The sequence below is a fragment of the Homo sapiens genome, chromosome 1, assembly GCF_000001405.40.
Source record: "Homo sapiens chromosome 1, GRCh38.p14 Primary Assembly".
Classification (NCBI taxonomy): domain Eukaryota; kingdom Metazoa; phylum Chordata; class Mammalia; order Primates; family Hominidae; genus Homo; species Homo sapiens.
This window is the reverse complement of record NC_000001.11, coordinates 234,693,847-234,719,142: the sequence shown is the minus strand read 5'-3', so window position 1 is coordinate 234,719,142 and position 25,296 is coordinate 234,693,847. Positions and strand designations below refer to the sequence as shown.

The 25,296-nt window shown below is 46.4% G+C and overlaps 1 long non-coding RNA gene across 1 annotated transcript, besides 6 other annotated features; it reads right to left on the bottom strand.

Annotated features, from left to right (window-relative positions):
- Positions 1-1,563: 1,563 nt before the first annotated feature.
- Positions 1,564-9,786, bottom strand: LOC124904556 (uncharacterized). Its single transcript, XR_007066953.1, has 2 exons — positions 9,705-9,786; positions 1,564-6,438 (listed from the first exon to the last, which is right to left on the bottom strand). It is a non-coding gene; the product is annotated as an uncharacterized LOC124904556 (long non-coding RNA).
- Positions 5,887-6,181: a silencer, noted in NCBI's record as "tiled region #10113; K562 Repressive non-DNase unmatched - State 23:Low". NCBI's record gives its function as "represses a minimal TATA promoter and a strong SV40 promoter by Sharpr-MPRA in K562 cells {active_cell/tissue: K562}" and the evidence as "EXISTENCE:reporter gene assay evidence [ECO:0000049][PMID:27701403]".
- Positions 8,725-9,225: an enhancer, noted in NCBI's record as "H3K4me1 hESC enhancer chr1:234845665-234846165 (GRCh37/hg19 assembly coordinates)". NCBI's record gives its function as "activates a minimal SCP1, AML or CMV promoter by ChIP-STARR-seq in primed H9 embryonic stem cells {active_cell/tissue: H9 hESC(primed)}" and the evidence as "EXISTENCE:reporter gene assay evidence [ECO:0000049][PMID:30033119]".
- Positions 9,226-9,726: an enhancer, noted in NCBI's record as "H3K4me1 hESC enhancer chr1:234845164-234845664 (GRCh37/hg19 assembly coordinates)". NCBI's record gives its function as "activates a minimal SCP1, AML or CMV promoter by ChIP-STARR-seq in primed H9 embryonic stem cells {active_cell/tissue: H9 hESC(primed)}" and the evidence as "EXISTENCE:reporter gene assay evidence [ECO:0000049][PMID:30033119]".
- Positions 18,607-18,901: an enhancer, noted in NCBI's record as "tiled region #7312; HepG2 Activating non-DNase unmatched - State 7:EnhWF". NCBI's record gives its function as "activates a minimal TATA promoter and a strong SV40 promoter by Sharpr-MPRA in HepG2 cells {active_cell/tissue: HepG2}" and the evidence as "EXISTENCE:reporter gene assay evidence [ECO:0000049][PMID:27701403]".
- Positions 18,607-18,933: a biological region, named in NCBI's record as "Sharpr-MPRA regulatory region 7312".
- Positions 18,684-18,933: an enhancer, noted in NCBI's record as "active region_2764". NCBI's record gives its function as "activates an Ori minimal core promoter by ATAC-STARR-seq in GM12878 lymphoblastoid cells {active_cell/tissue: GM12878}" and the evidence as "EXISTENCE:reporter gene assay evidence [ECO:0000049][PMID:35858748]".

The following is a 25,296-nucleotide window of genomic DNA, read 5'->3' as shown; positions in this document are numbered from 1 at the left end:
TAGGCAAATGGGGAAAATTAACTACAGCAATAGTCACGTTAGGAATGCAGGCAAGGTCTACCTCTGAAATGGTTCCTAGCGCTAGTGGGACTCCCTATCTGAAAACCTGCGTTAAATACATTCTTTCTTTTTGGGGGAATATGTCTGAATTCTTAAAAATGGGTCAGAACTTAGTCACTGACTTGGTGTTTCATCTTCAGCAATTCCTTTGACTACTCAATGCCTCAATGTCCTTCTTTATTACCGAGAGAAGTGATTTTGCTTCTGTTTCATACCAAAAAGAGTTTTAAACATCTTTCGCTTTGGTCAGTCCTATCACATTGCTGCTGATAGTGGAGGTAAAGACCAGACTCAGATGAATGTAAGAATGTGAGAACAATGAATGCATTTATCATGCACAATGTTAGTATAAGGTGCTGTACAATGTTAGAATGTGTTCTTAGTACTCCCTGTAGACTGAGTGGTTATGAAGTCCCGCCGTGGTGTTCCAAATTCTTCAGCTAGTTCCACTAACTACACTGGGCTACTGTTATTTTGACCTCTCATTTGCATATCTTCAATTTCTCTAAATACTCCTTTAACCCTTCCTTATCAATAGTTTATTGACTGCATCCTCCCAATCATTCTTACCTCTTATCTTTATTTTTCTCATTTAAGCTAATTTTTTAAAAGCAGTTTAAAAGCTCAGCTAATTTAGTCATTTCCCTTGCAACACCCTACTCCTTCATTAATGGACCTAGTTTCTCTTTTTCCACACTTTTCCCCCGGCACACACACACACACACACACACACACACACACACACAAAAGCAAACATGTTTATAAAAACACACCTTCTTCCCCTTAGTTACTTTGGCTGGCATTAAATCATTCCGCCTTTTTTTTTTTTCTCTCCTGCCCCCATATTTTTCCTAAACACGTTAACTTGGCCTTGGTGTTCTTTCTCATTCTCCTCCCCCTGTGTCTCCATTTCTTGAACAACTTCAGGAGAGTGTTGCTCTTTTGATTTTTTTCCCCACCCTAGCCCAGCTGAAAGCTCAGGGAACACTTCTTGCTTGCTATTTTTTATCCTGTTTTCATGGGACCTGGAGTCTCAGCCCTGCAATTATAGCCTCTTTCATGTTATCTTTCTCCCAAGGCAGCAGCTCACATCCTGGCAAGTGACACAATGGCAGTGTGGGTCTTGACTTAGCTTTCATACCTTTTGTTTCAGAATGCAGGATTTCCTTATGGTTTGTTTGGGCTTTTAAAAAAGCTTATTTACTGATCCTGAGAGGTGCCAGATTTACAACCCGGAAGAATAAAGGCCAAGTTTCTATGTGCCTGGAAATACTCCATCATGTCCAGGCCACTGTGATGTTTTGGGCCAACCTAGAGGCTGATTTGATGGCTGTGGGTTCTACCCTGTTGTCGCCAAAGAGGGGCTGCAAAAACAGTCCAGACCACAGCTCACTGTGCCTCGTGTTGCAAAGAGAGGACAGGGTGAGGAATTCAGACCAGGATAATGTCTGAAAATGGGGAGAACGCTGATTACATTTTAAAACTACAGTCTTGTTTATACTCTGGTAGTCAACACTAATCATTTATTTGTTTAAATTAAGCTCCCTCGCCTTAATTAAAATTTGCAATGTGATTTTTAAAAATTTATCCAACTGTGTTTAAACCTCACATTCCTAGATTTTGTACCAAGGCCCTATCTTTATACAATAATTTCAATACAATACAGCATTTTCCCAAACAAATACTTAAATGGAGACATGAGGTCTTTTTAGGAGAGAGGATATGTGACCTTCATGGTGGAATCACAGACGGGGCCTTAAGCATGAGGACGTTGTAGGTTTACTCAGTAATCTCCAACCAACGGTGTCTGTTTTTTTTCCTTGAGGCCAAGGGTAACGTCGTTGCCTGAGAAGCACTGGAGGAGAGGCAGGAACACAGATTTGTCGAGAGCACTTACATGTGTGCACACACCGTAACAAAGGGCAGGCTTGTTGTACGGCCACATCACGGAGCCAGGGGACGTGCCTCGGGAAGATGAAATGTCAGTACTGTCTCCATAGCACAGAGCCCAGCTCTATACCAGAGCAGTTACGGAGCTCGGGTCTGGGTGATTTCAGAGGCCCTGATCCGAGTAACTTTCCTAATAAGTCTGACGCTGTGTTCCAGATTTGTACTTTATGTTTACTCCTTGCATCAAGACAGTGTCTCTGGAAGTTTCTTTTTAAAACTTTTTCTTCCCCTCAGAACGCTACATCCTCTGCCTGAAGTGACGGTCTCAGCCAGCCCATGAGCCTTGACAGCGCATTGTTGGAGTTTGGAATCAACTGCCGCCTTTTCATGGATAACTTCCTGAATCTGCAGTTAAAATTTCATTTTTTTCTGGGTGCCCCGAGTAAAACACCCTCTGTTAAAGATTTATCACTTCCGCTGTATTTCAGCTGCCTGTGGGCATCCCTCAATGGTGAGCTCCGTGACAGCAAGGACTGTGTCTTTGTCCTCCAGATCACGATTCATGCTAAACACTGCTCTGTCCAGAATTTATTGTTTTGTATTTTGACGTCTCTGTCCAGATGTCTCTCTGGGATCACAGACGGAGAGCTCTTTGAGCACATGGACTTTGTCTTGTTTATCTTTATAGCCCCAGTGCTGAACAGACTGTCACACCGAAGGTGCTCACGGGCCTGCCGGACGATTGAAGTTGTACAACCTGCAGACAGAGGAGCTAAGTGTCCACACGGCCCTCCCTGCTCTTTCCATTCTATGTAGCTATCTTGCTGGCACCATTTACTCCTTTCTTTCTTTCTTTTTTTTTCTTTTCTTGAGACAGAGTCTCTAGCTGTCGCCAGGCTGGAGTGCAATAATGGCATGATCTCGGCTCACTGCAACCTCTGCCTCCCGGGTTCAAGTGATTCTCCTGCCTCAGCCTCCCGAGTAGCTGGGATTACAGGCATGCGCTACCACGCCCAGCTAGTTTTTCTATTTTTAGTAGAAACAGGGTTTCACTATGTTCACCCGGATGGTCTCGATCTGTTGACCTCGTGACCCGCCTGCCTCAGCCTTCCAAAGTGCTGGGATTACAGACGTGAGCCATGGTGCCCAGCCACTCCTTTCTTACTCCTTTTTAGTCCAGTGAAATCTAGCTAGCTTCTCCCTTACCCGTAATTGTTTCATTGTAACTTATTCTTGCTGAGATTACTAGAGCTATATTTAGACCTCCTAAATAGTATCATCCACTGCCTACAGTCCTTTGGACTGTATTCAGTTCGTGTGACCCCTCCCTCGCATGGAAACTCTCTCTTGCCTTAGTTTTTATGGCATGACAGCCTTATGCTTGCCTTCCTGTCGCAGAGCTCGTGTATCCAGCAATTATCGGTGCTCCCAAGGTTCCTTGTTCTTCCCCCTTCAGAGGTCTGTGCTCCTCAACAACTCTGACCCAGCCGTGGTTCCAACAACCATGCCAATGTGAAGGACCCTAGATTTCCATCTCCAGCAAGGACCTCTTTCCAGAGTGTTGGATGGGTATTCCCATTAACCTACTAGACAGCTGCATGTGGATCTCTCAGAGCCCCTTTAAACTCAGATCATCTTCCCACCAAAATCTGTCCTCCCCTCAACTCAGGACAAAGACCTCACTGTAGGAGAACAAAGGAAGTGGAAATCTAACAGGTGGCAGTTCACCTACAAAACCTTAGTGTCATGCAAGAGGGCTGTCCTGTGCGGTCATTCTCAGTATTGAGCCAATGTAATGAAGAAGCGTGTAGTGTGTGGTGGGCATTTTCCATTATGTTTTGGTGGCCCCACATGGCTGGACTTCCCAGGAGCTTCCCAGAGCTCCTGCTTTGGTTAATGGTGAGCATTTAGGCCAGACGGCCTTGCAAATATCTTTCCTACATGGGACACACTGTTGCAGCCTTGCTCTAAGGCATAGCCTGCCTTTTTTTTTTTTTTTGGTATGATAAAAGAAATATAGAATATTAATATATTCTCCCTGGCTTTCAAAGATTCCCAGTGCATTTTTCTAATACAGCAGCTATTTACATTATATTTTCTTCTTGATTCATCATTTTTGAATGAGGCCTTGTGGGTTTGAGGGCTGGTGAGAAATAGTGCCGGGGAGAGGGTGAGGAAGATTGCTTTAGATGAGAGGCACGACTGTAAATCTTGAAGTAAAATTATCTTTGTGAACTAAACGGTACCTGAATTTTATTCAAATGAAAAGCTGGGCAATTGAGTGTGATTTAAAATGATCACTGTTCTATACTTCAAATGCACTGAAACAGGTTTATTTTGCAATAACCTGGAGAACATATGCAAATTGAAGTTATATTGTTTAATCTGAAGAAGTGAAGGCTGACTGAATAATCGGACTGCAAGGATATGAAGTATTATGTTGAGGATATATACCACGATTTACCATTAAATAGTACACAAAATTAAAATGGACTTAAAATGCTCAGGAAATATGTATTGTTAGATAATAGAAAAGTTAAAATTTCTAAAAATAGCTAATGCTTCATGGATTTTTAAAGTTTTGTTTTGTTTTGTTTTTTTGTTTTTGAGATAGGGAGAAGATACTAGGGGAAAAAAGCAGATGGAAAACTTCCTTGTGGTTTTTCTGTAGTAGCTTAGAGTCTGTTCTAAGGAGCAGAGATTTCAGAGTATGGTCTTGGAAACCTTTGTGTTCTTTGTTTCTTGTAGACGCCACACGCCTCTGTCCCCTGGCCACAGAGGCTGATTTTGCTGTATCTGACATGGGTTTCTTGACCTGCTGGGAAGGCCCAATGTCTAATTTCCTGGTCTGCACCCTGCAGAAACCAGTGGAAATTAAGCAGCGATCGATTATCCTACCCCATCACACCTTTCCTAGATCAGATGATGCTGGCTGAGGCTTTGAAGTATTGACAACACACTCTTTTTTCTTTTTACACCTTTTCTTCAGAGGACCTGACTCATTCCCTGTAAAGGGAGGAATCACTGCAGAGACACCCCCTGTAGCCACACTGCACCCTTGCAGGGGCTGGGGGACGAGAAGCAGGATGTTGGTAGTGGTGTTGTTACCTCTCATGACACGAATCAGGCCCTTCCACCATACACTTCATTGAGGGGATTCTGAAATGGGGTCCTAAGGTTGCTCTGCTCTGAGATGGAGCGTGGAGCACCGCCTCGCACTGTTGCTCTGGGGTTTGTCTTTTGCCTGGGTCTAGCTTAGCAAGGGCAATGGCAAGAAGGGGTTTGGGAGTCAGGAGACTATTAATTCCAAGGGCCAAGGATTGGCACATCTTGGAATATTCCAGAAGTGTCCGCTCAGATGGCAAATATGGGGACAACGTTACCGGCCCTCCTTCCAGCAAGGAGGCTAATATAGACCCACTCACTGCTACCAACCACCAACTCTTGACCCTTGGAATGAAACAGTCTGTTAACTCCCAAACCCCTTCTTGCCATTGCCCTTGCTAAGCTAGACCCAGGCAAACGACAGGCCCCAGAGCGACGCTGCAAGGCAGTGCTTCGCGCCACTTTCATCAGGGAGGTGCCTGTGAGATTCTGCCTCGTCCCCATGACCTAGTTCATGCCCTCGATATGCCGGTGAGATGTGCAGGAGCTTCCTGAAGGGCCGCATCATCCAGCCTTTATTTTTGTACCTCTGTATGAGTTTTTCTCAACTCCTGCTGTCCAGTAGCCTCACTTAGGGAACCTGTAAATAATACCTATGCTTGGGCCCCACCCAAGACCCATTAAACTGGATTATCTGGGGAGGAAACCTGGCAGTGGTGCTTTTTAAAAAGCTCCCCAGATGACTTTAGTGTGCAGCCTGGATTGAGAATTGCTGGATCAATTGCTGGGGGAAGAGAGAGTTCTGTGCCAGCATATGAGTGGGTTTTCATAACACTAAGGAGCCTTACTGTGTGTAGGTGATACCTACACTTCAACCAGGAGTTCTGACAGATCAAGGACTATTGCCCTACCAGCTGGGGAGTGACACGAGAGAGGCATGGGCAAGGAACCAGTACAGGGAGCCCACTTACCTGGGAGAGCTGTACAAAGTTCACTGCAAAGGGTGAAACCTGAATTGTTTGCATTATGCGTGGGTCTTTGGCAGATAGAGATGGGGAGACAGGACATTTCCGCAGAAAGGACAATGTGCAGGCGTGATGCAGCATGATTTTTCAGGGGGACCAGAAGGTAAGTGTCAAAAAAGCAGACTCTGGGGCGTCCTTGTCCCTTTCCAGGAGCTGAGACCTGAGCTAGACACCACTGGGATGTGTCTGGAAGGAATGAACTGGTGGACACGGAAGCATTGTCTTCTCAAGGGTGCAGGGTGTGCCTGGAGATGAGGCTGGAGACAGCAGGAGCCCTGCCATGGATGGAATTCTGCACCACGTTAATTGGACTTTACCCAGTAAGCTAGAAGTTCTCACCTGGTTCAAGGATGAGGACCTATATTTAATAAGAAAAAACAAAATTATTTCAGACCGTCTTGTAGTAGTAGTAGTAGTTGTCATGGTACTTTAAGAACCATTGAATCAGAAAATGCATATAGACTAACAAATGACTCAAAATTTAATGATTTTTTAGTGGATTTTTTTTTTTGTTTTTTGAGACGGAGTCTCACTCAGCTGCCCAGGCTGGAGTGCACTGGTGTGATCTTGGCTCACTGTAACCTCCGTCCCTCCGGGTTCAAGCAATTCTCCTGCCTCAGCCTCCCAAGTAGCTGGGAGTACAGGCACGTGCCACCACACCCAGCTGATTTTTGTATTTTTAGTAGAGACGGGGTTTCACCATGTTGGCCTGGCTGGTCTCGATCTCTTGACCTCGTGATCCACCTGCCTCAGCCTCCCAAAGTGCTGGGATTACAGGCATGAGCCACCACGCCCAGTCTAGTGGATTTTAATTTTGATCACAACAGCAAGGTATAGGTACTGTATCTGTTTACAACATCAAAGGTTAAGAAATGTTTACCTTTTCTTATCTTTCTAACATAAATCATGACTGTTTTGAGCTCCTGATAGTAGATTAGAGTCTTTCTTAGGCCAGGTGTGGTGGCTCACATCTATAATCCCAGCACTTTGGGATCAGGCCTAGGCAGGAGGACCGCTTAAGGCCGAGAGTTTGTGACCAGCCTGGGCAACATAGTGCGATACCACCTCTAAAGAAATAAAAAATTAGCCAGGTGTGGTAGTTCATGTCTATAGTCCTAGCTACTTGGGAGGCTGAGATGGGAGAAGCCCTGTAGCCCAGGAGTTTGAGGCTGCAGTGAGCTATGATTGCACCACTGCACTCCAGCCTGGGAGACAGAGTGAGACTTCATCTCAAAAAAAAAAAAAAAGGAATATTCAGTAACATTTATTGGTGGTGCTGTTCACTGTGCTTGACACTTTATTGCCTTAGCATTTCACTCTCACCACCACCTTATGAAGTAGGTACTGCCATTTCCTCAGTATTACAGAGAGGAGGAGAGAGATTAGGTAAATACGTGGGAAAATCAGTAGAATTTGATGAACAACGAGATTGGGGGAAGAAGGAGGAGGAGGATGGTCCAGGATGACTCACAGATTCCAATTTAATAACTGAGTGGAGGGAGATGCCATTAACTGAACTGGAGTCCAAGGAAAGATTCTTCAGCCTTATCAGGAAGTTTATTGTCTTTAACCTTCCAGAGCCACTCTTTCCATTTCTATTTCTCTCATACATTTCTTACAAAAACATATAAATTACTCATTAGCAGTTAACCAAATTCTTAACTATTGATTAAACCAGACCCAGCCAAAGGGATAAAACTTTGACATTGACTGCTAAAAATGGATTATCTCGACTTCATTCTTTCCCTAGTCTTTCACCATGACCCTGATTCACTAGAGTCAGTCTTTAAATCAGCCTTGGAAATTGAAAGAGAAAAATCTATGAAGCTGGGCCTGTGCTTTGTGTGTGCCCAGTGTATTGGCTGTGCTATGGCCTGGCTTCGGGGACGCACTCCAAAGACTGGCTCTGTGTGGACTGGATTTCAAGCTATGCGACGGCATCTCACCCTTTGTCAAACACAGCTCTCTCACTCACTCTACAGCTGAGCTGAGGCTGCTAGGTGACTATGAACCAAATGCAATGTGCCAAGTTGCTTTTAAAAAACAAACCTTCCATCATTCATCTGAAAGGTATTTCTATGATTCCATTAGTCAATCACTTAGCAGATATGTATTCAATGTCTTTTCTGTGCAAGACATTGTGCTATATAAGTGAGCGAAATTAATAAATAAAATAGAAGGAGGTATAGTAAACAATTTTTAATCCAATGAATGAAAAATGGTGTCTAACAAATGAACATACATATAGGAACACTCATGCATGTGATATTGGAATTGGAGCTATTCTGGGACATCTTAGAGGTGACATTGCCGTCGGTACAAGGTGAGGGGTCCCTGAACTCTAGAGGAGCACATTTTACTTAGCTCGTCCAAGGTCTCACAGTGATGGTAATAGCTGTAGCACCCTTGCTCCTGTTGACTGACCCAGGACCTATGGCATCCCACTGAGTCCTCCCCTCCCCCACTGCCCCGCCCATATGATTCTGGGAGCTTCCAGCAGGTGGTTCATATGTGTTCACACACCTCTCTCCTGCAGCCCCTTGTTGACGCCGCTTGTTCATGAAATCTCCACCACTGTTCCTGTATCTGGTGCCCTCCAAATGAATGCTATTGTATGTGAAGAGTGGGGATCCCCACCCAGGGCTCCTCAAAACTGCCTCTTGGAGGGGCCCAATGGCCATCCTTCCTTGAGGCACTGGCCTGGAGCAGTGCTGTGTCTGGCTTAGATATGAGAGGCTGTTCCTCATCCCAGCTTTATGGGTCATACTGAGCTGAGCGCTTATGCCTTCTAGAAAGCAGTTGCTTCTACCTCTGCCCAGACCCTCAGCACAGGCCTGTCCTGGAGCAGAACCTGTGGTGCCCTGCATTTCCCCTGGCCCTGGACAAGACTCCCTGGGGCTGACTGTCACCATCACACAAATCATCTGAGGCCAACAGATGGCTGGGGTGGGGCTGGGCAGGGCAGGCTCCACGTCCCAGTGTAGGCCCAGCCTGAGCCCAGTATCTGAGGACAGTGGTGACTAGCAAGATCCGCATGCCGGGTGGCTGGTAATAAGAGCAAAACTGAATTCTCTCTGAGCAACAGTTGCTCAGAGAAGGCCCTGGAGGCCTGAGGCTGGCAAAGAGGCTTTGCAGAGAAGGAAGTACTGGAGCCTGAGGGAGGCCTGAGGCTGGCAAAGAGGCTTTGCAGAGAAGGAAGTACTGGAGCCTGAGGGAGGCCTGAGCCTGGTGCCTCCTGTACCCCCTCCTGAGCCCCTGCTTGCATGGGTGTCTCCTAGCAACTGTGCAGGGCACTGGGACACTTCAGGGCTCAAGTGGCGAAAGGCGCTCACTTCAGCCCCGTCTGTTTTGCCTGTTGCCTGAGGTGACCTTCACTCTAAAGTGCTTTTGCATCCTGACCAGCAGCCCCGGGCACAGCGGTCACCCCGGTGGAGTCAGCGGCACCATGAGAGGCGCTACCCAGGAACAGCTCTGTGCACCTTGACTGCTCACCGGCCAAGCCCAAGTCCCTGAGCCTGCTCCTGACACCCAGTCGGCTTGCTTCCCCGCCTCATCTTTGACTGCTCTTCCTTTCAGTCACCCCTCATCTTCCTTCTACTTCTATGCAGGTCCAAGCATACTTACTGTGGCTTATTTTGTTCCCTCTGCCTGAAAGAGGTCTCTTCACCTGTCAAACTCCCGGGTACCCTTCAGACTGAGATGATTGTCCCCTTGAATGTGAATTTCCCTGAGGCAAAACTCACCGGTTCTGCTGCTGCGTCTGTGTTCCTTCAACCCATTCTCCACACAGGGCCAGAGCCATCTTAGCTCCAGGCACGTCACCAGTTCACGTCCCAACGAGTTTAGAATGAGTTCACATTCTTTGGTGGCCACATGCCTGCCCTACTGGCTCATCTCTGACCTCACTCTCACCATGCTCCTCTTCCTTCTAGCACCATCGGCCTCCTGGCACTTCCTGGAACTGCCTCAGGTCTTTCCTCTTGCCTCAGGTCCTTTGCACAAATGATTCCCTCCTCTCTTTCCCTGGAATTCTCACTGTGTATCTTCCAGATCTCTGCTTAAATGTCGTCTCCTCAGACAGGCCTTCCACACCTTCCTCTCCAAAAGAGGTTCTCACCATTGTCTCATTATAACAAGGCTAGTCTAAGTCCATATATGCTGCTATAACAAAACACATAGAGGGGGCAGCTTGTAAACAACAGAGATGTATTTCTCACTGTTCTGCAGGCTGGGAAGTCCAAGGTAAATGTACTGGCTAATCTAACGTCTGGTGAAGACCCACTTCCTGGTTCATAGGTGGTGCCTTCTCACTTCATTGTCACATGATAGAAGGGGTGAGGGAGTTCTCTGGGTCCCTTTTATAAGGGTGCTAATCCCATTCAAGAAGGCTCCACATTCATGACCTAATCACCTCCTAAAGCCCCACCTTCTAATACCATGACCATATGGTTTTTGCTGTGTCCCCACCCAAATCTCTTCCTGAATTATAGCCCCCACAATTCCCATGTGTCATGGGAGGGACCAGGTAGGAGGTAATTGAATCATGGGGGTGGGTCTTTCTAGTGCTGTTCTCGTGATAGTGAATAAGTCTCACGAGATCTGATGGTTTTATAAAGGGGAGTTTCCCGCACAAGTTCTCTTCTCTTGTCCACTGCCATGTGAGAAGTGTCTTTCACCTTCCACCGTGATTATGAGGCCTCCCCAGCCATGTGGAACTGTGAGTCCATTAAACCTCTTTCTTTTGTAAGTTGCCCAGTCTCAAGTATGTCTTTATCAGCAGTGTGAAAACGGACTAATACACATCACCTTGCAGGTGAGAATTTCAACATATGAATTTTGGGGGGACACAAAAATTCAGACCACAGCATTTAGTCATTGTTCTCTGTCTTTCTTTGTTGACTTCAGTTATGACCACCTCCTAGCTAGAGTGTGAGCTTTGTGAGACAGAGACCACCTGTGTTGCAGCAGAATATTTGTTGAATAAATTAATGAAGTATTAATTATTAGGTATTGCCATTTTAATGAGCATGTTTCCTTCATTGCACTGCAAGTCCATTGAAACTATTAGCCTTTGTGATTTTGACATATATATTTTGGCCTGGCCCCAAATCTAAATATTTGCAGGATTGAAGAGAACTTGACTCATGATTGGAATGAACTGCAAAGAGGAAGCTTTCAATACTTGAGCACTTCAAACTGAACCTCTGAAGTGGGACCGAACCCAATGCAAGCCCTAGGCCAAGATTCAAGGGCAGTTCCTTAATGTTGCAAGTGACTTAAGGAAATGATCACTGGCCATAGGCAGAGCAGGAGAGAGCAGACTGAGCTGAAGGGAAAGTTACTGGTTTACCTCTGGGGTTTCCCTCTGTCCCTGAGTCTTTTCCTTTCCTAGGGCAAGAGCCACCCTGTGGGGTTGGAACAGGGTTTTGAGCCTCCTGCAAACCTGCATCCTGGGCCCCGGTAAGGAGCTCATGGCCTCACGGTTTTTGCCCTTCCTTCCTATGCTGTTACTGGGGAATGATTGCCAGCAAGGGGAGATTGCGAGGAATGAAAAGGGCACTTCAAATGGACTATTAAAACACACACACCCCAGGAAGAAATGCTCCCAAGAACCCAGATTGTAGAGCGGGGGGTCTGAGGTAGTGGGCTTAGCTCAGGGGCCTGAGGAGGTCTCATGATGCTAACAACTGAGTCCCTGGCACCACTGTTCACACTACCAGTGTTGACAAGTATTGAGGTTTGAGCTCTGCAAAACCTAGAAAGTGGCCTCATGCATTCCTATTTTAAATCTCTCAGGTTTGGGAAAAATGAAACTAGTGCTTCCTGATAATGAAGAGAAAAAGGCCCCAAGAGAAGATCCTCCTGCTAATAAAGAAGTCTCTTGCCCTCTCATAGGCTCTCTTGGGGCTTCCTCTTGGGGTTACCCCAGTTGAATCTCCCTTTTAAAGCTCCACAAGGGGTTTGGATGTGATTAAACTGACATGGAAGTGAACACTCACTCAGATTCCCAGGGCCGGGAAGCCATGGGGCACATAATCACCCTACCCTAAAATGCTTTCCTTGGGGCTTACTCAAGTCCACTCTTGGGAAGCATATGTAGGAAGGAGGGGATAGAAGCCTTTGACTCTGCTGGTGGAGGGAAATGGACTCCCTTACCCCTTCTATATCCATATGCTCATTTCATTGACCTGTGGCACAGAAAGTGCTTACACATCTTGGTCTGGCACGGTAGCTGACGCCTGTAACTGCAGCACTTTGGGAGGCTGAGGTGGGCAGATCATGAGGTCAGAAGATTGAGACCATCCTGGCTAACACGGTGAAACCCCGTCTCTACTAAAAATACAAAAAAAAAAAAATTAGCTGGGCATGGTGGCAAGTGCCTGTAGTCCCAGCTACTTGGGAGGCTGAGGCAGGAGAATGGTGTGAACCTGGGAGGCGGAGCTTGCAGTGAGCTGAGATCGCGCCACTGCACTCCAGTCTGGGCAACAGAGCGAGATTCTGTCTCAAAAAAAAAAGTGCTTACACATCTTACATGGACAAGACACTAGCCCGCTTCATTGCTCCACATTGCAAATCAGTACTCCTCATTCTCTTTCCAGCCTTGTCCATGAGGCTTCTCCTTAGCAGAGCCAGGCAGAAGTTTGCCCTCAGTAGTACCCTCTCACTCTCCTTTTCTCCCCCATGCCTGGCCCTTTTTGTGTCCCCACAAGGGCCCAGTATTTTCTTGCAATTCAGGCTATTCACGACCTCCAAGACACCCAACTGCATTCCCTGACTCTCTCCAGGTCAACCCTTTTCCATTCCCCCAACAAAACACAACAGTCCTATTTCTACTCACTGTTGAGGAAGAAATTAGATCTCTGATTCCTCCCTCTTCTTTTCCCTCAATACCAATTAGCTAAATTGTATTAGATACCATTTAAAATGATGTTCTTTCCAGGGTGTTTTGAGTGATAACAGAGGCTTCCTGAAGGTTTACCACCCAAACTTACACATCTGGCATCAGTTTTCTTCTTGTGCTGTCATCTCTAGGGTCTATCACACAATTCAGACTTCAGTGTACATAACTTGTCATATTTTGGGCTATTTTCATGTGAGTTATTCCTGTCTCCCCATCTAGATTTTAAATTTTAAATGCCTATATCCTAACAGAGGGCTAAAGACATTGCTTCACACTTACGAATGAGCCTCTAGTGTACGTGAAGTCAGCACAGGAAGGAGAATCATAAAATACTCGCAAGTTTCAGTGAGGAGGACTTTGTAGAATCTAGTTCAGCTTCCTCATCTGATAGATAAGAAAGCTGTGGTTCAAGGAAGTCTAATAACACATGAAACAGTGAATCATTAATAATTCAAGAACAAATATTTATTCAATGTCTAATCTGTTCAGTATAATGGGAATATAAAGATGAACCAGTCATGGACCTCACTCTCCATGAACTTAGGGTTTGATTTGAGAAGGAGATAAGATATGTGTGAGCATCAATAACTGTACTATGCCATAGGAAGCACCATGAAAGTGCTAAATGAACTATAATCAAGTGCTTAACATGGTGAGGGTGAACTTAAAATGCTGTGAGTGTCCAGGAAGAGCAGAGCTGAGGACAAGGGGTGACACAGAGGAAATGTCCTACCAGGTCCATGTCAAACATCTAACTGGGATTATAGGCAAAAGCCTACTGAACCTGGTAATGAAGCCCACACCATGCTGCCCTTTGCTTGGTTAGTGATGACTCTCAAGCTTGCTTTATCCCATGTTTATGGGGAGTGTATTGGGTGCCCTGTTGTGTCTGATAAAGAGACCTAGAAGGAAGCTAAAACAGCAAATGTATCAAATTACTATCTTGGGACCTTCCAGCTCAATCTGACTCTAACGAAGATAGCAACTTAGAGGAAAGAAAACTGTCTTTGCTTTTTTTAAATATCCTCTCTTTCCACCAAGTGACTATTGTTAGGTTTCAACTCTATGTTGGGTTTCTCTCCCCAACTTCTTCCTATTAAATTAATGCTTGCAAGATGTGCCAGGATGATACAAATAACTTTCAAAGGCAGAGCCCAGCTCTCAAAAGATGATGAGTCCTGATACTCCATGCTTCTTAAAGACTTACCTAGGTCATCTGAGAGACAGAAGGCAATCAATGATGATCAGGGTCAGGTGCATCCACGACTCACTCAATTCTTGCACTTTGTGCTATTGGGACGACAAAAGAAGCTGAAGCCACAGTTCGTGCCTTCAATGAGATTGCTGTCTAAGGGAGAGGAAATGGCCATGGTCGAAACACGTAGAGAGACTGACCCCTAAGTGCAAGATAGCATGGTTTGCATTACATACACGCATATGTGCGCGTACACACACACACACACACACACACACACACACACTCCCAAGAGCAGGGTTGTGTTTTGTTGCCTGGTAGCTCCACCACTTCACCCAGCTTCTATCCATCTTTCACCTTAGAGACAGAAGGGTGGAAGCTCTTTAGAGGCTACCTTGCCACCTGACTCCTCCCTGCCCCTCCTTTGAGACCTCCAGCCCTCTGTGAGCGCAGCTCTATCTTCAGCCCTCAATCCTGTCTCCTCATCTGGCGCCCCTTTTCCATGTCCTGCAAACATGACTAGACCCTGATGATTCTCAAAAATGTGTCAGCAACTCTGCCTTCCTCTCAAACTACTGCTCCACTTCACCCCTTCCCTTTGGCACCAATCTTCATTTTATAAAAAGGCTGCATTCACTGTCCCTACTTTCCCATCCTCCACATTGCTACGGTTCAGTGTTCCGCCATTGTTCCGGCTCAGCTTCTGCCAGCACCGGGATGGCTCCTGTGCTCATGCCTGCTCTTGGGATGTGATGATCTCTGAGTTTCAGTCTTGGGACCAGCTCTTCACTTTCTCTGAGCAAACATCGTTTGCTTCCCCTGGCTGACAACTCCCAGAGGCAGATTTCCAGTCTTGACTTAAACCTTAGGGGTGCAGAAACTGTATTTCCAACTACCTATCAAGCAGTGAGTCTACCTGGATGTCCCTTGAAAACCTTTAATAAACATGACCCAAATGGACTCATCCCCTTCCCCCTCAAGCTTGCTTCTGTAACAGTTTATGTGATCATCATGATCTCCCGGGCAGCCTTCAGCTAGAACCTCAGGATTATCTTGAGTGCCTCCTTCTCTTTCATGCCTGCTATCCAATTGCTTCGTAAGCATCCCTTAAATCTCTTTCCTCTTGTCACTCTATCCCTGATCCCTCAAGTCCAGCTGACCCACATACTTTTTCCTGGTGGCCCCCAAAAGCTGTGAACACCAGCTCTTTTAGGCAGGAGCTCCAGCCCCCTCTTCACTGTTCCCAGCTCCAGGTCTCCTATCCTTTGTTCCCCACCCCTTTATTTCCAATTTCTGGCCACTTTAGCTTCATTGGTTTTAGATTTCTATATGATTTTCCACAATAATGCCTCATCTGTCCTATACTTCCGGCTTTTGGTATAAAATCACACCCATGGTCTCTGGTGAAAAACATCCTAGTCCAGTTCCTACGCCTGTGAACCCCACTGGCCAATCTAGCCCCCAAGGCTCCGTCTCTGCTCTTCCTTAGTGATGCTATTATTTATGCACCCATTTCTTTCACTGGACTATAAACTCCTTTATGACAAGAACTATTATTTACTTCTCTTCAAATTCCATTACAGGCACATAGCAAGAGAGATAATAGGATTATTAAAATAAAAAGAGGCCAGGCACGGTGAGCTTATGCCTGTAATCCCAACACTTTGGGAGGCTAAGGCGCATGAATTTCTAGAAGCCAAGAGTCCGAGACCAGCCTGGGCAACATAGGGAGACCCCACCTCTACTAAAAATAAGAAAAAAAATTAGCCAGGTGTAGTGATGTGCACCTGTAGTTCTAGCTACTCAAGAGGCTGAGATGGGAGGATCATGAGAGTCCAGGAGTTTGAGGCTGCCCTGAGCTATGATCATGCCACTGCACTAAATCCTGGGTGGCAGAGCAAGACTCTGTCAATAAAATGAAATACAATAAAATGAAAAGAGTGTGGTATGTACAGGAAATATTCAGGAACGATTCAAGGCAATGCATGTACTATAGAAATGCAGCCAGAGGGAAGGGCTATTGTGGATTGAGTCAGTACAGGAAGCTGGATCTTTAACTGAATACAGACATTGTAATTACATATCCTAAAAGCAGGAAAGCGCTGGTGACTCTGATGAAGCCTATCTTTTAATTCCTCCCAGTGCCCTAAATTCTTCCCTGACTCTGTTACCCTCTCATAACCCAGCTGCGATGACTACTGCCTGTAACACCGAGACGAGCTCTCCAGACTGTCATGAGAAGCTTGGTGCAGCCAACTTGAAGTCATGAGCTGACAACAACCTCCCTGCACATGAGGGCCAGGAGGTTGGGAGGACCCCTGTTCTGCTTACTTAGACCAAAGGGATCTTGGATCTCTGCTTGGCCCCAGAGTAGCTCCAGAATCAGAAATGTTCATCATTCCTATGAGCACATATCCAGGGAGTGTTTGATCATAAGTTCTCCCCAGAGTCAAGTCTTCAGCCAAGTGCGAACGGGCCTTGTATAATCCTGGCTGAGGCTCAAGGGCCTTGTTAGGTTTTTCCAAAGAAGTATCCTAGGCCTTCTCATTGGCTTCTCCATTTACTGTTTCCTGTAATGCTATCATGTGATTGGAATACTGCTGTCCTTAAGGCTGTGTCCCTTTGGTACGATGAGCTCAAGTTTTGTTCCCTCTTCTCCTGGCCTTGCCTCTATCCAACCCCCTTGGCTGAGAAACCACTGGACTGCATCAGCCCAGATTATGTTTTCTTCCGAGATCTTCCAGATCTAACCTGTTTATCACAAGCACAGCTGTGCATGCAGTTCATGCCCCAAATAGATAGGTAGGTTCTGCAAAGGGTACGATTTGGGTTTGGCTCATAATGAAGGAAAACTCAGTTCATAAGAAGAAGCTGGGCCATGCTTATGATCGTCTCAGATTGGTTTTGGCAGCCTGGACACCCTCTGGCCCCTTCTCCCTTCTAGCCACTCACCCTTACCTCATCACTTTTCCAGCTGCTACAGGCCCCAGATGGTGCAGAGTAGCTGCTAGCAGTGACTATTTATCATGAGGCTGTGCGGGTGTAAAGAAACATGGCCAACCACACTACAAGTGGTCTAACAACATGGTGCCCAAGGGAAAGCACGTCCTGAGCCCCACCCCACTTCAGCATGGGTTTGTTCCTCTCAAGATACTTATGCCCATCTCAGAATATCACTGACTTCTGGAGCTTGCCACAGAGATACTTACAGCTCAAGCAACACCCCAGTGGCTCAGTGACCTTCTCCAGGGTCAGCTTGTAAGCGATAACAAAACCCATCTTCTGGTTCCCTTGGTTCCTGGAGAAGCTTGATGAACTTTGCACAAAAATAATTTGGGCATATGATAGCATATTAGTAGGCAAGTTCAGACTCAGGGAACTAAAAATCCAAGTCATAATGTGATCACTCACCCCTTTGGGTTTCTAAATCCAAAAGAAGGACCTGTGCCTCAAAAGTAAGCAGAAAGAGGCCAGACGTGGTAGGTCACGCCTATAACCCCAGCACGTTGGGAGGCCGAGGTAGGTGGATCACCTGAGGTCAGGAGTTCGAGACCAGCCTGACCAACATGGCAAACCCCCGTCTCTACTAAAAAATATTAAAATTAGCTGGGCATGGTGGCAGGCGCCTGTAATTTCAGCTATTCAGGAGGCTGAGGCAGGAGAATCGCTTGAACCTGGAAGGCGGAGGTTGCAGTCAGCCAAGATCACACCAATGCACTCCAGCCTGGGCGACAGAGGGAGATTCTGTCACACACACACACACACAAACACACACACACACACACACACACACAGCAGAAAGAAAGAAACAACAGAACATGCAAATACATGAATAAAGGGAAAGATTCTGAGGTTCTAGAAAGCTTCTGTTATTATCTATTGATGCACATCCAGGCAAATGCCTTTTCTTCTTGCCCAATCCAACCCTGTCTCCAACAATAGATAGATGATAAATAAATAGATATGTAGGTAAATAGATAGATCCAAAGAAAAAACTGCTGCAGTATCACTCTCGTTAGAGCGTTCCTTTTAGTAAGAGAAAGATCCTAGTTCTACCACACATGTTAAACTTTCTGTGCAATGGCCTGGAATTTCTACCATCTTTGCTGATATAGATCACCCTGAATAAATCATGGGATTGATCAGTCCTTTGGCAAATGTTTCCAAGTGTAATTTATATGTACTGCCATTACTAGGGCACCTGACTTGCTGATATTTTTAAACAAATCCAGGTTTGGTCACCTTGAAGAATGCTTGCTCCTTTGCGGCAGATGGGTACAGGACCCATCCTGACCCATCCTCTCCAGTCCCTTGGGCTTTAGGCTGCCTGCTTGCTGTGGTAGGGGCCAGAGTATCATTTGCCATTTTGATTTGGTGCTGCTCAGTCAACGCTTTGTGCTTCCCTGCTGCCTGCTAGCTCACAGCCCTGAGTCAGAGAGGGGCTCCCCTGAGAATCTGCCTTATGTCATTTGTACATGGCTGGGTCTGGAAATCTTGACAAAGCACTTTCTATAAACCACTGTGAGGGAGGGCAAAAATAACAGTAATAAATAATGCCTCTGAGTCATCCATTAACCTCTGTTGATGCCACCTCCGTGTCAGCTGTCACATGTTGATAGTGTCACCTAGAATCCCTGACGGGGACATGCAAGCCTGTGCATGTTCCCTCCCCCATAGCAGTGCTGATGAACATCCCTCCTGTACAGCCCATCTGTTCTGGTTCCATGTGGCTGGGCCTGTTTCTCTCCGAACTGCTCTGAGCAGAGCAGATTTTATTTTCATTACTCTTGCCATGAAGGTCTCCAAATCCTAAGCTTCCCTTTGGTCTTTGCTGTAAACCACAAGGTCTGCTGTTTGGCGATGCACTGCTTTGCCAGTTTGCCTTCAGGTCAGGCCTCTGGATTTCCAAAGTCCCTTCGTGGAATTTGTCTTGGGAAACCTCCACCCACTAGGGCCACAGGGCTCAGCCCACCAGGGGAGTGTCTGCAAAGCTGAATGGGCTATTTCTCTGTCCTGTGCCTCCCTCTTCCAACCTGTCCTAGTTCTTGCTTAGCTAGACTCTCAAGGCTTATTTTGACATGCTTATCTCCGTATGGCCCTGCCCTAAACAGACATGGCAATAAGTGCACACTTGTGGCTCACCTCTATGTGGGGCAAAGTCTTCCTCTCCATGAAGCCTGTCAATTCAGTGAGCTGAGAAGCACTAGCTGAACCAAACTTAGACCTTCTTTGCAGCCTCTGGACTTTCTCTAGCCCTCATGTCTATAGTGAAGTATCACTGTGGGGACAGGCATGGGGCCTCCTCTGGGTTCAGCGGTTCTCAAAGCATTTCTTCCCTCTTTTTTTTTTTGAGATGGAGTCTCGCTCTGTCACTCAGGCTGGAGTGCAGTGCACTGGCGCAATCTTGGCTCACTGCAACCTCCGCTTCTCTGGTTCAAGCAGTTCTCCTGCCTCAGCCTCCCAAATAGCTGGGAATACAGGTGCATGCCACCATGCCTGGCTAATCTTTTTTTTTTTTTTTTTTGCATTTTAGTAGAGACGGGGTTTCACTGTGTTGACCAGGCTGGTCTCAAACTCCTGAGCCCAGGCAATTTGCCTGCCTTGTCCTCCCAAAGTGCTAGGATTACAGGAGTGAGCCACCATGCCTGGCCCATTTCTTTCTTTCTTTCTTTCTTTCTTTCTTTCTTTTTTTTTTTTTTTTTTGAGACAGAGTCTCACTCACTCTGTCACTTAGGCTGGAGTGTAGAGGAGCGATCCCGGCTCACTGCAACCTCTGCCTCCTGGGTTCAAGCGATTTTTCTGTCTCAGCCTCCTGAGTAGCTGGGATCACAAGCATGCACCACCACACCTGGATAATTTTTTAAATATTTTTAGTAAAGACAGGGTTTCACCATTTTGGACAGGCTGGTCTTGAACTCCTGGCCTCAAGTGATTCACCCACCTCAGCCTCCAAAAGTGCTAGGATTACAGGCTTGAGCCACTGCGTCCGGCATCTTCCTTCATTTTATTAATTGCACAGCATGTGGTATTTGGTCACCTGTTATGAGCCTGACTCCATGCCAAGTGCTGAGGCCGTCACCCTGGTTAAGATCCCCACCATCTGCAGCCTACTGCAGTGGAGGAGGCTACATTCCCGAAGGTAAGTTACAGTGTCAGCAAAGTGCTGTGGGCCCCTGAGCAGGCGGTTGGGAAAGCCTTTACCAAGGCAACGATACTTGATTTGGGTCTTATGGGAGGACAGGGAGTGTAATCCAAAGTGAAAGGGCAAGGGAGGTCTAGCTAGAGGGAGGGTGGCAGGGGATCGGGGCCTGGTGTGGAAGTCATGCGTTGCACTCATGTGTGCATGGACCCCAGCAGGGTAAGTGTGAGGCCACAGGCGGGACCCCATGTGCCATGCTTAGGGGTTCAGACATTGTCCTGGAGATGATGAAGGACCCCTGAGAGTTTTAAGCAGAGTTGGGTGTGAAGATGGATCTGAGAGGCCAAGACCGAGCAGGGAGACAAGTCATGATGGTCCTGATCCGAGACGGTGTGGGAGGTGGGAACTGACTTTAAGATGGTGGAAATGCAAAGCCAGGTGATGTTTCTGGGACAGGATTGACCAAATCTAGTGACCTACTAGATATAGGGAGAAAAAATAAGGAAAGCATAGGGGATCACACTGAGGGTTTGCATTTGAGAGACTAGAGTCAGGAGGCAAGGCAGGATGGGGGTGGAGAAGGGGAATGATGGGGCTGAAATTAGACCACAGTGGTGGTGGGAATGTGGACACTGAGGGAAGAGGAGGCAGTGAGCACACGAGTCTTTCATGATGTTTGGTGATGAAGAGAAGGAGGGATGTTCTGTAGCTTTAAAGGATTTTTCAAAAGTAGGAGAAAGAACCTGTTTGTAAGTAGAGGGAAGATACGGTAGAGAGGGAGAGATCATAGGGTGTAGAGAACTGCCATTTGCTGAGTGGGTGCCGCTTGCAGGCCCGGAGCCATGCCCTTAACATGCATATCTCATTTCAGCAGCATGCCAACCCATGGGGTAGCTCTACTTATACCCATTTTCTGAATGAAGAAACTGAGGCAGACCGATGGATTCACCCAGGGATGGGACTTGCTGAGCAGTTGAAGCAAAAGAATAGAGTGACTGGGAAGGGAAGAAAATGAAGTCAAACGAAAGCTAATAGAATGGGGTGGCGGAGTGCGGGGCTTAACGGGCTGAGGGGTGTCTATATTCCAGACGTGGGATTTGGAGTTGTTCTGGCTAATGTCAAAGACCACACACAAGGACATGGACGTCAACGGTTCATTCACATGAGATGACAGTTACCCAGGATGAACCAACTGCAAAAAGCTGTCTGTGGATGGTAACTGCAGGTGACCTGAATGCATGTGCCTCCTCCTTCTTTTTCCGCTTTTTGTCTTTTCCTTAAGCCTCTCTGAACAGTATCTTCAGAAGTGTCTGTTTCCCACAGAGCATGGTGTGTCCAAGAAATACCCCACATTCCCATTGCCTTTGCTATTTAATGCTGTAGTTGGGAGAGGCAGTCTTGCTTTCTGCTTGCCTGTCTTTTTGGAGCACATATGAACTACAAATAGATACAGCCCACATTTTGCCTCAAAGATATATTCTTTGTTTTCTCCAAGTTGCCAAGTTGAACTCTAAGCTGATGTTTAATTTATCTGTGGTAATGAGGAACGGGGATAGCCTTGCATAATTGGAATCTGAAGATAAGCCAAAAGCTTCTTTTAGCCAAAATTCCTACATCCTTTCCCACCAACTCTTTATGCCTGTGTTGCTAACAAATGGCAAATTGACTAATCTGAGTTTCACCAGTTCTTTGTGTGGTGTATCTGACCTTTCACAATGGGTTCATACCAGAGTCCACTTCCATGGTCCTTCAAGATGTGGGTGTCTGGTTCTCAGGTAACCAACCAAAACCTTTGTACCTACCACTCATGTATATTTCAGTTGAAGTTAGAAAAGCACCCCCTCAGTCTATAGCTAACCTCTGGTGAAATTGAGGAATGAATGAATTGCTAAGCCATCTATAAATAGAATTCCGGGACAATTCATCTGATGTGAGAGACAACCCTTTGATAGGTTTCTGAGAAGATGTGTGAAGCCACTACTCTCAATTGTTCTTTCATTTACTTTTTGCTAATCAAAGCCCCAGACATATTCCAAAATGTGAGATGTTTTGGAAGATTAACCAAAACACAAGCTGAAATTTACCAGGGGCTCTGTATAAAGTTATACCCTTAGGCTTTTATTCTCAAAGCCCTCCCAAGTACAGAAGTGTAGCATGGGATGATGTGACATAGAATCGCAGAGTGGGAGGAGCCCACCATACTTCAATTCAGTGTATCCAGAAGGAAAACTAAGGTTCACAGACTTGCTTAGGGGCTTAGTCAAGGGACTATTTGTTCAGAACCAACATTCATACAAAGAGTCTTAAATTTAAAAGGGGATTTATTTCAGAGAAACCTCATGGAAACCAGTTGAAAGAGGGTTAGTGGGGACTTTCGGGAAGTGAAAAGTCGCTGGTTAATTTCTCTGTTTCTATCTCTGTGGGGCCTTGCAGATTCTTTTCTTTGCTTCCGGGAGCCTTCTTCATATCTGCAGTGGATATGAGGTGATATGGTTTGGCTCTGTTCCCCACCCAAATCTCATCTCGAATTGTAATCCTACGATCGCCACGTGTCAAGGGCAGAAACTGGTAGGAGGTGATTGGATCGTGGGGGCAGTGTGCTGTTCTCGTGATAGTGAGTGAGTTCTCACGAGATCTGATGATTTTATAAAGGGCTCTTCCCCTTTCGCCATTCACTCTGTCCTGCTGCCTTGTGAAGAAGGTGTCTGCTTCCTCTTCACCTTCTGCCATGATTGTCAGTTTCCTGAGGCCTTCCCAGCCATGCTGAACTGTGAGTCAATGAAACCTCTTTCCTTTATAAATTACCCAGTCTCGGGTATTTCTTTAGAGCAGTGTGAGAATGGACTAACACGAGGCTTCGCTGGTCTCTCATGACCAACCCAAAAGGCAAGGTCAGCTTCCATGTCTCAATGGCCTTCCAGTGAGGCCCCTCACAGCTAACTGACCAGGGCAGGGGTCTCCTTGGTCCAGCTGAGATCAGGGCCTGGCTCCGGCCCATGCCTGTGGTAAGAGTGGGACTATCCCTTGTGGAGCTGACAAGGGCTGACTCTCTGTAAGGGTGGCTAAGGCACTACTGGCCACTCTGGTGCCCCAGGATGGCACAGGCAGGTCAGAACCTGGCTGTCACTCCAGGCCAGCCTTCTGCCACTGACTGGAAAGGTGGGCTCAAACACAACTGCAGTTAAAAGAGAGGAATTGCCCCGGAGGTGAATGCAGTCACCTGCATAGGGGAAAAGGAGGTGAGAGGCCTGCTCTACTCCCCCTGATCAGATGCCATCCAAGGGCACATGGCTGACATGTTTGAAGAAAAACCCAGAGTCAACTCAGAGCCCAACTCAGGCCTGATAAAAAGTGACTATGATGATGAAGAGATTCAAAATTATGCTGCAGAAGGAATGGCTGGAGGGTCTAGGCGTATTTCACCTGGAAAGAGGAAGCTTTAAAGGAGATGTGAGTCTTTTGTCCAAATGTGTAGACTGACTAAATTCTTTAAAGAGTTTTATGTTTGTGTATATCTGAAGGGTCCAGAACTAGCATCAAAGGGTAGAATTTAGAGGGAGGAAGACTTTGGATTAAAATTAGGGGCCACATACTTTCTGTGAGGGTATCTTGATATTGGCTGCCCTGTCACATTTAAGAAAGGATGGGATGATCATTCGTAAGAGAAGCTGTAGAGCTGATCCACAAACTAAGGGAGTTCTGAAGTCTATTCTAGTTTGGAATTCTATGGCTCTGCTGCAGGTGCATCTGGTTGGCTGGATTGATTGCTATCACAGGGGCAGAGGCCACTGTGTATGATCACTTAGGTCAGTGAAATCAGTAGAGGCCAAGCGGCTGCACCACTGGAGGACAGCAGGTTGCCCTGATCCTGAATCCCTTCAACACTGGGCCTTCTCACATCTGTTTGAGACAAGCCACTTTCAGCTGAGATGCACTAGATCCTTCAAGCCTCTCTACCACCCACAGGGTCACCATCTGCTGGAGCGGCCAGTGGGGCTGCAGGTTACCCATCAAAGCCCAAGCTATGAAATTGTCATTGAGAGGAGTGCTTTAGACATAGAGCTCATTTGGTGGCAGAGATCAGAAGCTTGTTCAAAGCAGCCTGGAATTTTTAAAAGAATAAGGGAAACATGTAAAGGTATGCATTTTTAAGGTTTAAAGTGGTTTTGCAGAAACTCAAGAAAAGCTGAACATCAGGAGTGAGGGGGGACAGAAGTTAAAGCCACAAGAGTTCACCAGTCTTTCTACTAGCGTGCTACTATCCATGTGACTCAGCTCTTATCCTCAGGGCTGCTGCTTATTCCCTCTCCTTGTGTCTCTTCACTCGAAACCCAGGAGAGGACTGTGATTGCTAGCTAGTTGATAGATTGGCTGGTTGGATCTCTTTTTTTTGAGACAGAGTCTCACTCTGTCACCAGGTTGGAGTGCAGTGGCACGATCTCGGCTCACTGCAACCTCTGCCTCCCAGGTTCAAGTGATTCTCCTGTCTCAGCCTCCCAAGTAGCTGGGACTACAGGCGCACGCCACCATGCCCAGCTAACTTTTGTATTTTTAGTAGAAATGGGGTTTCACCATGTGGCCAGGATGGTCTCGATCTCTTGACCTCATGATCTGCCTGCCTCGGCCTCCCAAACTGCTGGGATTACAGGCGTGAGCCACCGCGCCTGGCCAGCTGGTTGGATCTCTTACCCATCCCCAGACTAATAAACCCTAGGCTTCAGGGCCTGATTATCCAGGGCTGTACCTAGAGCAAGTTAAGCTAGAAAGAGAAATTGGGCTTGGCAGAAACGTTGACCAAATCCTTCAATACTGAGGACAACCAAGAGTACTGAGTAACCCAGCAGGATGTGCACCCAACCAGTCCATACTAATTTGGGGTCATTCATACCTTTGCAGTTTTAACTCCTTTTCTCTTCCTCCACTTGCTTTTCTCTTTATATCAACAAAATCTTATTGCTCCTTATTGGTTCAATCATCCCAA